A 14,134-nucleotide genomic window follows, 5' to 3' on the forward strand; every position below is an offset into this window, starting at 1 on the left:
ACAAATACGTAGATGGAATTTGCAAGTCACTCGGCTGCTTCCGTGTCATTATAATGATTTCTGAAGATCCACCATAGCTTTGTCCATTGGGTTTCTTTTTCTCCACCAAATGTTGGTTGAATTGATGCAGAGGCACAGCTATCATGGTAGACAGTATAGCTTCTGTCTCTGGGGGAGGATGCTCAGGAGCCAAAATCAAGCATCGTAAAGGGGATACTCATTGAGGGGATTAATTTCAATTCTATGCAAACCCATTTCGTGGGGGTGTAAGGATTGTGAAAAGATTTGATATATATTAATGACTACTGTGTCTCAAGTTAGACACTTTATATATATTTTCTTGAAACTTCAAAATAGCAATGCAATATAGATTCAGCCACTCCATTTTACAAATGAAAAAACAGAGACTCAGAGAGGCTGGGTGACCTCACCAAGGTCACATCAGTAAACAGCAGACTGGGATCTGAACCAGGTGACCTCCTGTTTCTCTGCCAGTACCTTTCCACCACATCTATCAACCCCTGTCATAAAAAAAAAAAAAGTAAGCCTTTAAAGTGTACAAAAAGGTAGTGTTATTTCAGTGGCAAAGAAAGCATGTGAATGTTAACAAGATGTTTATCCTCTGCGTTAATAGATTATTAAACAAGGTTAATATTACTGTGATAGGGAGAAGAGAGCATCCATCAAAATGCCTCCAGAGGCCATGTGTAGACAATGCCAAAACATCAGGGTGGAAAGAGAGAATGCTACTTGGCGTCCACCTGTTTTGCGTAACTGATGCCAAACATATGGATAGAGGGAGGGGGCCCAGCCCAGCAAGGAGGGTGTGTGGTATGGGCTGAGTGGCAGCTCATCAGTGATGTTAAGTATACGGGAGTCTTTTCCAGGATAATGTGGCATCATTGAACCATTGGAGCAGAACTTCAGGGTCCTATTCATTCTGGGGTGTACTGGACATGATGAATTGTGATCATTTTGAATTCTCTTTTGCATTGCTCACTACTTATCACAGGAAGGTTACAAAGCTGAGCAGCTGATAGGGGATGTAACTGAAGGAAGACAGAGGAATTGATTAAACGTCTCTGCCTGTCCCAGTTAGCTCAGAGCCAACCATCAGTTGAGGGGAGTTAGGGAGTGAAGTCTCAGCCTTGTACCAAGAGCATGGAGCTTGAGTCAGGAGGCCCCAGCTAATGTCCAACTCAACCACTCACCATCTCTGTGATCCTAGGTGAGTTCTGCACTTCTCTAGGTTTTCACATCATACCTTGCAAGTCTGGAATCAAGGTTTTTTGTTTGTTTCTGCTTTACTTTGCATTGTTTAGTGGCAGGAGTGACTTTTAGGCCTCAATTTCTACATCTGTGAATTGGAGATACTATTACCTATTTTGTAATGGTCTTTCTTGTGAGTGCTAATTAAAAGTGATTAGCACTGAGTACGATGCAAAATACGGGATTCAAAATAGCTAGCTGTTAGTACCATTGGACCATTTTTTATGAAAAACAACCCTTCACACTAAATTTGAAGAATGTATAATTTAAGGAGCATCCACGGCCACCACGGACAATAGTTCTTCAATGAAATTTACAGAAATGAAAGATCTGTGATCTTTGTTGTTGCTGTTAACTGATAATCTTTCTCATCAAATCCGAAAGGTTGCTATTTATTTAAATGTATTTGTGAAGGCAATTCCACCAGAAGCTGAGCTAACATAATCCCAATATGTTGACTTGCTTGGATCTTCCCAAATAAGCAATGCTCAGGGTGTCTAAGTCAGTATTTGAAGGTAGCAAAAATGCAGATTCGTACGTCCTAGTGAGCCACTCTTTGAAAGGAGCACAGAAATCTACATTTTTTTTTTTCTTTTGAGACGGAGTCTCGTTCTTGTTGCCCAGGCCGAAGTGCAGTGGTGCCATCTGGGCTCACTGCAACCTCTGCCTCCTGGGTTCAAGCAATTCTCCTGCCTCAGCCTCCTGAGTAGCTGGGATTACAGATGCCCGCCACCACACCAGGCTAATTTTTGTAGTTTTAGTAGAGACGGTGTTTCAGCATGTTGGTCAGGGTGGTCTCGAACTCCTGACCTCAAGTGATCCACCCGCCTCAGCCTCCCAAAGTGGTGGGATTATAGGATTCAGCCACCACACCCAGCCAAAATCTAAATTTTTAAGAAGCCCTCCAGGTGCTTCCCCAGCACATTGATGTTTGATACATACAAATCTAAATCAGGATTTCCAAAAGGGTATACACATAATGATTGAATAGAGTGTACAAAGAAAATATCAACGTTTCCAATTAAAGTTATTTTCATTTCTTCTATTTTTCATTTCTATTTTTCACATGTTTTATAATGGCTATATTACTGTAATCAATATGTCATTTATAAACACAAACATATGTATATATACACACACATACAATGTCTACTTACATGTACACACACACATACTCACACATACCATGCACTCACATATTCGAAACAGTTTGCAGAGTTCCAATCTAGCCAGCTATGTAAGATGAGAATCAAGCATTTCTTCACATTGTTTTGGGGAGCAATAGCAAATCCTACAGGACAGAAAGCTCCAGGGAGGGCCTGAAGTCTAGGTGTTTTGCATCTTTGGCTGAAAAGAAAGCCCCATGCTGGAGAGACCAGGAGTAGGTGGCATCAGGGAAGGCTGCTATTGATTTTATTTTGAAAGGCTGATGTATGTTCTCATTCGTATGGAGAATTCATACAGAGAACCACATGTCCTCTGCCTAACGATGGGCTACATCAAATGAGGGCCAAAACTCCAACACCTCCTTCTCTGTATAGATTCATATGTGCAAGAAAGCTAATAAGCTCATCAATTCCTTTATTCAGCAAACATTCATGGATGATCTAGTGGTTCTGTTACTGTTCTTAGCACTGGGGCTCAGCAGTGAGCAAAGAAGGCAAGGTCCTGGCACTCATGACCTTACTTTCTTGTGGGGAAGCCCAGAAACAAAGTGAGCCGATACATAAATAAGAATATTGTCAGTTCGAGTGAAGATTAGGCAGAGGACTAAAATAAGATGATGTTCCAGGGAGAAAACGGGGGAGATCACTCAGACAGTGCTGTGAGGGGGAACTTCTCTAACAGGGCAAGTTCTCGGCGTTTTAATTCCCATGCATTCCTCCTCTGGAAGTTACTAGAAAATATGTGTTACAAAACATCGTGGGGAAAGGGGTGGATCAAGAAGAGAGTATGGGACTCAGGAAAAAACAGACTCAGCACAAGAGAGGGAAGGGCACCCAGAATGGTGGTAACAGGGGATCCCCAAACCCCAGCTATGAGCCTCCAATCCAGATTGGAGCAGGTAGGAAGGCTCAAGAGGGCCATTTTGAAGAAAATAGCATTGACAAAATATCCTAGTTTTGAGATTTACACAAATGGTAGGCAGGATTGGGGGAAGAATAAGTATATGTCAAGAACTATGCAAAAAGTAATAATTATAATAACAACAATGGCAACAAAAATTGTTGGCTTCCGAAGAAACAGATCTATAATTTTTTAAAAAAGGGTCATCATACCATATACTACATGACTCAGCTATGAATAAAATTTACACAATCATTACAATGCAAATATCAAGTACCCAGCTTAGTAGCAGAACAGAATAAGCATATCGGGAGTATAGGGTTCAAGCTGTGTGACAGAGAAACTAATGGTAAAAGCTTGATTTTTCTTCTTGCACAGCTTGAAAATGTAGAAAAGAGACAACTTTTAAAACTAAACTTGTGGTGCCCGGAACTGGACTCCTGAGGTGAATGGCCATGAGACCAGGACCCCTCTGTTCTGAATGTAGTCATTAAAGCAGTCATTAATTGGCATAAGTGTGAGTCACTGTTTCATTTCAATATCCCTAAGTCCCATGCTTATATAATTGCTACTTCCTAACTGAGCTGTGTTTTAAAAATGCATTGTATGCATGAATCAAAATATCACATGCACCCCATAAATACGTGTGATTATTATGTATCAAAAAAATACATAAGACCATGCTACACAATATGTCCGCTAAGAAGCTTGAAAGCACAGTGACTACCTTTTGGCAAATAAAATTGAATTTGTACTGCTTCCCATTTAATGTCCCACTATCCCCCTGCTCATGGCCACATGACCAGCTTTCCTTCTGGTTTTTAGAAGTTTGGAGAGTTTGCCTGAGACACCACAACGTCTTAATACTTAACCCTCCACTTTCTTCCTATAGAGAGCAGAATGGAGGGTTCATTCTCAAAAAAAAAAGAGAAAGCTTTCTAGCAGGGGAATCTATCCTGGCTTAAAAAAATAAATGCTTGAATCACAAATGTTTCCATGTAGCACAAGCAATAACATCAGCTAGGCCCATCTTTTAATTACATGGTTTGGCCATGCAAATATTCACAGACACTTTTAGTAAGGCAATGGACTTTTATTTAAAGTGTAATATTAAGAGCTTACTACAATTGCTGATCAGTGCTTCTTTTTTCTTATTTATTGCCTTCCCTTCTCTCATGTTCCAGCCTTGCCCCAACAATAAAATCCCACTTAGTACTTATTTTTTTCAAAAAACATCATTTTTCACTATCATAGGACTGAAGAAGGAAAGAGCTTTCTTCTTCCTTTCTTCTTCTTTTTTAAGAGACTAAGGTTCTTCTCTCCTCCCAAATATTTAATCATAATTATATTAAGAAACATTTATAAAAAGTTAAGTAATAAAATTAAATAGGTTGGAGAAAAACAGAGGAGTAGACAGCAAGGATTAAGTGTAGTAATATAAAGAATAGATTATATTTAATGAAAATTTCCTCAGTGTTCAACATTTTTATTATACTTAATAGTGCTGGGCTTCATTTTTGTCTCCAGTAATTGTGTGTCCATAATGAATGGCCATTCTTATTCCCCCATTGTGCCCTGACAGAAATTAATAAACCTAATTCTGTAGGTTTAAGTTTAATTTTGTTGAAATATATAAAGTAGTTACATATTCACTTAGCAGCAAACCAAAATGCAGTGGCCTCAAGCTGCTCAGCAACTTTATAGGGAGTAAATTGTTTTTTGGCTCTTTCTCGCACGCTTCTTGCTCCTTCCCTTTCTGATTTTAGCCAGGAGGCTTGTTTGTGATATGTCCAGCTACAGAGGACATGCATGGCCACAGAGGTGGAACAGTCAGTGGCCAGGGTGAACATTGTAAAATGTACCAGTATATGATCTAGTCCTCTTCCAAGAACAGCTGTTAATGATTGCTAAGCACTCTCTTGTTGGTTTACAGTTTGATCAAAAAAGTATATAATAAACGTGGCAGGGGATGAGCATCTTACAAGCTAGCAGTTCTCTGGTAATAAATAATGTCCACAGCCCAGTTGCCAGAGCTCAGAAAGAATGGAACCTCCCCTTCAGGGCTTCAAGCACCCTAGGGGTGCTTCCTTGGGGTCTTAGTCTCGGGGAATTTGAAGAAATTTAAAGGAGTTATATCACATCTTTATATATCCCACATGAAGAAATAGGATCACATCTGACTGGTCCACTCATTTGTAATTGACTATAAATATCTTCTCAGAGAAAAGTCAGCTCCATCTGGTGATCATTCCTCCCTCCATCTCTCTGTCTTTTCCTCCCTCCCCCCCCCTCCCTCTTTCTCTACTTTCCTCCATACCTCCTTCCATGCCTCCCCCAATCTGTCCATTCATTCATTCATTCAACAAATATCTGACTCTATCACAGGTCATCAGTAGAGACAAAATGAACAACATAAAAACAATTTGATCTCAAACCTTATGGAGTTTATTGTTATGCTCTTTTTTTTAAAAAAAAAAAGGTAACTCACAAATCAACAGCAACATAATAAAATGATTCCAAGAGTTATGTGGTAAATAAGACATATAACAGAAGGAGAATTGACATGCATAAAAGGGTCAGAACTGCTTTCCTTAGAAAAGTGTAGCAGACCTGATATCAGAGAGAAAGAAAGCACTAAGCAGGAAGAGGTAGGTGAGGTGGGGATTCAGGCACAGGGGCCCTGCCCATAAGGCAGCATGACAAACCTGAGGGTAGAAGGGGGAAGCAAATAAAAACTGAGGCTCAAAGATAGCTAGGGCACAGAGAAGAAGGAACCCCACAGATCACCTCAAGACTTTAGGGTTTATCCCAAGAATAGCAGGGAGCATCAAAGGAGGCCATCAAAAAACTCTAAGGGAGCTAGATACTTGCTCAGAGCTGCTGTTATGGGACATGAAGTATTAGGCAGAGAATGGCCATAAGAAAGCTCTTTTTTATCATCTTCATTTGTTTTAAAACTGAGAAAATGAAGAACCAGGAAATTTAGTCAAAGCTGGAACATAGAGTCAAGCACACTGACTTCAGTTCCCTTACCCCTACACCTATGCTAGCTTATTTCCCTGGAGTCCTTATCAGCCCTATTGAGCAACCTCAGTGATGATTGTTCAATGTACCAGGCATGTGAATTCCTTTCTAGGGTCATATAGTTTATATCTACTGAATGCTTTCTAGTAATGCCTTCAAAACATCTTACTAATAGACTGAAAGGATGACATAATGAGGACCGCTCTGGACACATCATACCATGATAATCCCATTTCACAGATTAGCTATGTAGAGGTAGATGTCAGGGATTTGTAGCCTCACATCCTCCATCTGATCTTCATATATTATTTCCAACTCTTAATTGTAACTTTATATACGATAATGAATTTGACTACATGGAGGCCTCAACAAGTACCAAAAGCAACCACACTGAGATTCAAAAAACTACAATTCTAGTCCCAACCCTTGCCTCAAACTGTAGCAGAGCTGATATCAGAGAGAAAGAAAGCACTAAGGAGGAAGAGGTGGGGCGGTGGGGGGGGACATAACATGAAATGAAATCCTGGACATTTCCTTTAATGGGGACACAGTCTCCAGTCAGCTGGTTCCAAGGTCTGGCAATTCCAGCTCCTGAGTTTGAGAACAAGGAGTTGGCCCAGTATAGAGACCCTAGTTTCTGTCTAACAGCAAGGTTCTGTCCTTCTGATCACTGAAACCTGACAGGGTTGTGCTTGACCCATGTAATCCTAGCAGACATGAGAAGAGCAGCCTACAAGAGAATGCCTTGGAGCTAGATTTATTCAGCTTCAATCCCAGTTGCTGTGTGACTCGTCCATATTAACTTTTTTGGGCTTCAGTTCCTTTGTTAAGTGGAAGTCACTTATTTGTTTGGCTATGGATACTAGATTGCTATGGATATTAGAGAAAATTTACGAAAACATGTGGCTTTATCCTTAATTTGAGCAGATACTCAATGAACACTATATTCTTCTCTCTTCTTCATCCTTTCACTCTTCCTTCCTCCTGTTCTTTTTTGCTCTCCTTGCCTTCTTTGCATTCGTTTCTTATATTTCTGTATCTCCTTCCTTCTAGGAAATAATTGCAATAGTTCTTGAGAGTTCACCACCATACTCTCCTTTATGGGGCAGTCTGTTACTCTATTTTATGAATTCCATTTCTTTGTCGAAATAAAAACAGGAGCTTCTGATCACAGGTATAATTCCAGTAGCAGGTGCAGCTGAGAGCCTTCTCAATCACGATACCTTCAGGGTTCTGTATTGATCTGATTCTACTTTGAGAATTCAATTAGAAGGGGGAATATTGTGGGCATGAAGAGAGCTCCTGAATGACACCTACAAAAATAGAAGGGGAAGAGTGTGACCGGTGGAAGGAGGGGACACAAAGGCGAGGACATCCTGCGCTCTGAGACCCACCAGGATTTATCTCTGGTCAAGCTGAATCAAGAACACTGGAATCTGCTTACAGCCCAACAGATTTAAGCTACTACTGTGCTTTCCAAGGTTATTAAGTTCAAGTACGTGGAGTATGTGTATTGGAGAAACGTGCCGTTGGTAAGAACAGATTAACCTGAGAGTATTCCACTGGCCCTGCCCTCCCTCACTCCTCCCTGAACCCTGGCCTCTCCCCTAGGACCCTGTCACTGCCAAGCCACAGGATCATTGCTCACACACATACTGCTTTGCCTTTTGAACGACCTGCTCCCCATATACACATGGCAATGAAAGACCGTCTTCTGATAAGCAGAGCAATTAACAGCCTGGTTATCAGTGGCTATCAGTTCCCCTCTTTCCTATCAACACTGTAAAAAAAAAAATCTAAGTTTTCAAAAGTCAGCAGCCCCTCTTCCTGAGTGGAGGACAGTCATTGTAATGAGTGATTGAGTTTGGCATCCTCTCTTGTCAGCGAGATTTTTTTTTCCTAGAAGTATGTGAAGAAAAACATCTAGAAAATGCTTTTGTTTGTGGGTTTGGACTGGAGAATGGCTCTTATCTGTTTAGGCAGAGAGAGCCTTGGGTGTTGCTTCTGCCTAGGAAAAGCATCCCTACAATGATAAAAGCCAAGGAATTAATAGTAAACAGACAACATTCCCCAAAACACCGGTGTGTATACATGTGAGATAGACACAATGTTATAAATTGAGATACTTAAGCAGACCATCCTTTATATCCAGTGATCAATCTATTTCATCCATTCATCTAACCACCCATCCATCCATTTTTCCATCCATTCATCTATCCAGCTGTCTATCCATTTGTCCATTTATCTATCAATCCATTTCATCCATACTTCCACCCATCCATCCATTCATTCATCAGTCCATCCATTCATTTCTCCATCCATTCATCTATCCATCTGTCTTTCCATCCCCGGCCTCCTCATCCATTCATCCACCCGTTCATTAACCTATCCTTCCATTTTATTCATCCTTCCATCCATACATTTATCCATCCATCATTCCATCCATCCATTCACCTATTCATCCATCCACCCATCCATCCACAGATATTTATTTAGTACTCTAACATTTTAGTCTCTCTACTACTAGTTTGGGAGTCCATAGTGAACCAGGTAGACACATTTTCTGCCACATCAAGTTGTCAGTCATAGAGGGAAATATAAATAATTAAACAATGTACAGTACAATGTAATTAAGTATTGAGATGGGAGTTCAAGGTGCAGGCAGAGAACATCCAACAGTTACATAGCTCTGGTTTAGAGTCATCAGTTGCAGTCTCTCTGAGGAAACTCTTCCTGGGAAGAAGGAACCAACCCTGTAAGATAATTAGATCTAGCTAGTCAGGTGCAGGGAAGCTGGAAGAAAAGAAGGGCTTTAACATTAATTGAATATCTATTTCATGCCAGATAACAGGTTTGTCACATTACAGATAGTTCTTCAATTCATTTTCACAGCAACTAGAGAAAACAGAGGCTCTGCACAGTAAAGTTGCTTTCCCAAGTGCTCAGAACAAGAGACATACTTTATAAATGACCCAGGTTTTCTCTTGTTCCAATGTCTTTACTCTTTGTCTTGTTCCATGAATTCCCCTCCACCACACCTCCCTTGGATTATGAGTGAGTTGAAAAATTCAGGGAGGTTTTTGACACATTCTCCAACCAAGAAAGATAAAGTATGTGGGCTCTGGATTCAAACAGGCCTAGATTTCAATTCCTTTTTGACATCTACTAGGAGCATGACTTTAGGCAAGTTATTTAACCTCTCTAAGCCTCTATGTTCTCATCTGTAAAATGGGGATAGTAATAGTTTGTACTTCAGTGCTTTATAAAAAAAATAAGAAGTGCAAAGTTAGTAGAGTATCTGGTCCTATAATAGTTCAATGCATGTTTTTATATTATTCTTTTCATTATCTCCGCAGAAATAGGCTTGTTTTATAGAAGAAAACATGATGAGATACGACACAGAGGAGAAAATCTTCAATGCTTTAAATAAAGAGGCCTTTGTTCCTTCTTGTCCATCAACTAGAGAGAAGCGTTGAACCCCATGGTATACCCCAACCTCACAACAACCTTAACAAATAGGTCTCAGTATATTTTTCCAGCCTCGACTATCACTTAATCCAGACATCTGAGACTCTAGGGCAGCCTCCTGGAGTAGCTCTGAGTTTTAAGCCTCTTCCAGCCCTTTTGAGAGGTCAAAACCAAGGAGGTATTGCGTGAGAACTCCCCATCCTCCAGAACTACCCAGTCTGAGGGTAGAAGTTCGTGAGCTGCTGAATGTCACCCCTGTCCTGCCATTACCGAGTGCACCGTCACCTTGGAATGCGCTTGGGGTGAGGGCAGATGGTGATGGAGGCTACTTCACATAGACCTGGCAGGAGACCCTAAAGGGCTGGTCCCTCCCTTCAGGGCCCTACAGAGGCCTTCCCTGAGTCTTTCCCCACTCTGGGCCTCTTTTCCTGCTATTTTCACCCATTTAAATGTGCTTGTCAGATTCCTGCCAACACACTTGGTTTTGTAATGTTGTGTAATACCTCGAGCCACCTTAATGAAATATTCACACTCCCTTCTCTGTTGGAGCATTCACCCAGGTTCCCAGAAAATTCTCTCTCTCTTGTTTTCAAAGATATACCCCCAAGAAGGAAGACCCTGAGTGAGGCCCATGACCCCCAGTAGAGGCAGGCTCAATGGCTGGGGCAAACTGCTCCATAGAATGGGGTTTGGGGAGCCTCCTGTCTCAGGCTCCTCCTGGAAGAACTGAGAACCCTAAATAGAATGGCTAGGAGCAGGAATATTTGAGTTGGGACCTCCTGGGATAAGACCCCCACCCCGGGAAATAGAGAAACCTTTCTCCTCAAGATTAGCGTCCTAGCTAATTCTGCCTTTAAAAAGCAGCCCTGCGGACCCAAAGCATCTTGACACTGAGCAAAGACTGCCACCTGTTGAATACTCAGGATAGTGTGCTCCTTCCAAGGCCTCCAGGCTCCAGGGTATATGCTGCAGGCACAGCCTGTCCTCTACCCATCCAAGCTCAGAAGTGGGAAAAGCCACCCAGTGCTGATTGCGTAGACCTTCTGGCATTCATCTGTAAAATAAGGCGGTTGCCCTGAGTGACCTCCCACAGCTCAGGGAAGGTGAGTTGACTTGCCTTGGTCACAAAGTAAGTCAGGAGCTCCTGACCTCTTTCTGATGCCGCCAGAAGCACTTCCTACCCTACCACTCTCTTTAGATTCTGTTTGAATTTATTTTATGAAGGTATTTTTAAAGACATAAATAAAAGAGCCCAAATTGGCAAAAATACAGGTTGGCAAAACATCAAAGTGAATATACAGGTGGAAACAGCACTCACATTAAAACCCAGAATGCATCTGGTCCCTAAAGGAGCATCCTTCTTTCACTCTTACAGTTACCCTCTGCTCCAAGGGTAATGAGTATCTTGATTTCTAGCTCCATAGGTTAGTTTTGCCTGTTTTTGAACTGAATACAAATTGATTCATACATGTGATGTCACTTTTCTCACTCATTGTTTCATTTGTGTGATTTAGTCTTTCCCTCTGTGTCATAAGAAACCATATTTTTTTTAAGGTGGGATGCGGAATTATACCTGAAAACTGGAAAGACTTTGGAAATTATTGAATGCAGCCTTATTGTTCTTTAGTGAGAGAGGGAGGCTCAGAGGAGGAAGGGATCCGTCAAAGGAGACATAGCATGTTCAGAGGTTTCTCTATTAGATGACAAGACTCCCATACAGATGGCCAAGGGGAACACAGAACTTGGCACTCAGGCCAGCACTAAGGACACTGGTCCCACTTAACATGTCATCAAGCCTTAGGAACACTTTAACAGGTTCTAGTCTAAGACCATAAGTATTGTCATCCTCATTACCAAATGTGGCATTTTGCCCACTGTACTCATTCAACAAACACTCAAATATTTGATGAGTGAATAAATGGATCTCAGTACCTCACTGCCTTCATTCCGGAAATGGATACCTTATTGTGGGTCCTGACTCTCTCACCAGTTATGATGAGGATAGATGCAGTGATACCTGGTTAAGAGACTGATGTTGGTTACAAACGAAAAACTCTTGCAATGGACAGTGTCCATTGGTTGTACTCATGGGCTCTGAAGCTAGACTGACCCAGATTCCATTACTACATCTAGGATTTATGTGTTTGTTAATCTTAGATGATCTTTCTTTCTTTCTTTTTTTTTTTTTTTTATACTTTAAGTTTTAGGGTACATGTGCACATTGTGCAGGTTAGTTACATATGTATACATGTGCCATGCTGGTGCACTGCACCCACTAACTCGTCATCTAGCATTAGGTATATCTCCCAGTGCTATCCCTCCCCCCTCCCCCCACCCCACCACAGTCCCCAGAGTGTGATATTCCCCTTCCTGTGTCCATGTGATCTCATTGTTCAATTCCCACCTATGAGTGAGAATATGCGGTGTTTGGTTTTTTGTTCTTGTGATCGTTTACTGAGAATGATGATTTCCAATCTCATCCATGTCCCTACAAAGGACATGAACTCTCCATTTTTTATGGCTGCATAGCATTCCATGGTGTATATGTGCCACATTTTCTTAATCCAGTCTATCATTGTTGGACATTTGGGTTGGTTCCAAGTCTTTGCTATTGTGAATAATGCCACAATAAACATACGTGTGCATGTGTCTTTATAGCAGCATGATTTATAGTCCTTTGGGTATATACCCAGTAATGGGATGGCTGGTTCAAATGGTATTTCTAGTTCTAGATCCCTGAGGAATCGCCACACTGACTTCCACAATGGTTGAACTAGTTTACAGTCCCACCAACAGTGTAAAAGTGTTCCTGTTTCTCCACATCCTCTCCAGCACCTGTTGTTTCCTGACTTTTTAATGATTGCCATTCTAACTGGTGTGAGGTGGTATCTCATTGTGGTTTTGATTTGCATTTCTCTGATGGCCAGTGATGATGAGCATTTTTTCATGTGTTTTTTGGCTGTGTAAATGTCTTCTTTTGAGAAGTGTCTGTTCATGTCCTTTGCCCACTTTTTGATGGGGTTGTTTGTTTTTTTCTTGTAAATTTGTTTGAGTTCATTGTAGATTCTGGATATTAGCCCTTTGTCAGATGAGTAGGTTGTGAAAATTTTCTCCCATTTTGTAGGTTGCCTGTTCACTCTGATGGTAGTTTCTTTTGCTGTGCAGAAGCTCTTTAGTTTAATTAGATCCCATTTGTCAATTTTGGCTTCTGTTGCCATTGCTTTTGGTGTTGTGGACATGAAGTCCTTGCCCATGCCTATGTCCTGAATGGTGATGCCTAGGTTTTCTACTACGGTTTTTATGCCTTTAGGTCTAGCGTTTAAGTCTTTAATCCATCTTGAATTGATTTTTGTATAAGGTGTAAGGAAGGGATCCAGTTTCAGCTTTCTACATATGGCTAGCCAGTTTTCCCAGCACCATTTATTAAATAGGGAATCCTTTCCCCATTGCTTGTTTTTCTCAGGTTTGTCCAAGATCAGATAGTTGTAGATATATGGCATTATTTCTGAGGGCTCTGTTCTGTTCCATTTGTCTATATCTCTGTTTTGGTACCAGTACCATGCTGTTTTGGTTACTGTAGCCTTGTAGTATAGTTTGAAGTCAGGTAGTGTGATGCCTCCAGCTTTGTTCTTTTGGCTTAGGATTGCCTTGGTGATGCGGGCTCTTTATTGTTTCCATATGAACTTTAAAGTAGCTTTTTCCAATTCTGTGAAGAAAGTCATTGGTAGCTTTATGGGGATGGCATTGAATCTGTAAGTTACCTTGGGCAGTATGGCCATTTTCACGATATTGATTCTTCCTACCCATGAGCATGGAATGTTCTTCCATTTGTTTGTATCCTCTTTTATTTCCTTGAGCAGTGGTTTGTAGTTCTCCTTGAAGAGGTCCTTCACATCCCTTGTAAGTTGGATTCCTAGGTATTTTATTCTCTTTGAAGCAATGGTGAATGGGAGTTCAATCATGCATGATTTGGCTCTCTGTTTGTCTGTTATTGGTGTATAACAATGCTTGTGATTTTTGTACATTGATTTTGTATCCTGAGACTTTGCTGAAGTTGCCTTTCGGCTTAAGGAGATTTTGGGCTGAGACGATGGGGTTTTCTAGATATACAATCATGTCATCTGCAAACACGGACAATTTGACTTCCTCTTTTCCCAGTTGAATACCCTTTATTTCCTTCTCCTGCCTGATTGCCCTGGCCAGAACTTCCAACACTACGTTGAATAGGAGTGCTGAGAGAGGGCATCCCTGTCTTGTGCCAGTTTTCAAAGGGAATGCTTCCAGTTTTTGCCCATTCAGTATGATA

General features: G+C 41.1%; 2 long non-coding RNA genes across 5 annotated transcripts in view, besides 1 other annotated feature; one reads left to right on the forward strand and one right to left on the reverse strand.

The window, feature by feature from the left end:
* Nucleotides 1-14,134, forward strand: part of LOC105371357 (uncharacterized) — a 117,137-nt gene that overhangs the window by 22,709 nt on the left and 80,294 nt on the right. The window lies entirely within an intron of this gene.
* The window catches only part of LOC105371358 (uncharacterized), a 29,716-nt gene continuing 21,382 nt past the window's right edge, over nt 5,801-14,134 (reverse strand). For all 3 annotated transcript variants that reach the window (XR_933777.4, XR_933779.4, XR_933776.4), the window contains one exon: nt 5,801-7,673. This is a non-coding gene — a long non-coding RNA (uncharacterized LOC105371358). The remainder of the gene's footprint in view (nt 7,674-14,134) is intronic.
* Nucleotides 10,672-10,741: a silencer, noted in NCBI's record as "silent region_7739". NCBI's record gives its function as "represses an Ori minimal core promoter by ATAC-STARR-seq in GM12878 lymphoblastoid cells {active_cell/tissue: GM12878}" and the evidence as "EXISTENCE:reporter gene assay evidence [ECO:0000049][PMID:35858748]".

Source organism: Homo sapiens, chromosome 16 (genome assembly GCF_000001405.40).
Source record: "Homo sapiens chromosome 16, GRCh38.p14 Primary Assembly".
Lineage (NCBI taxonomy): Eukaryota > Metazoa > Chordata > Mammalia > Primates > Hominidae > Homo > Homo sapiens.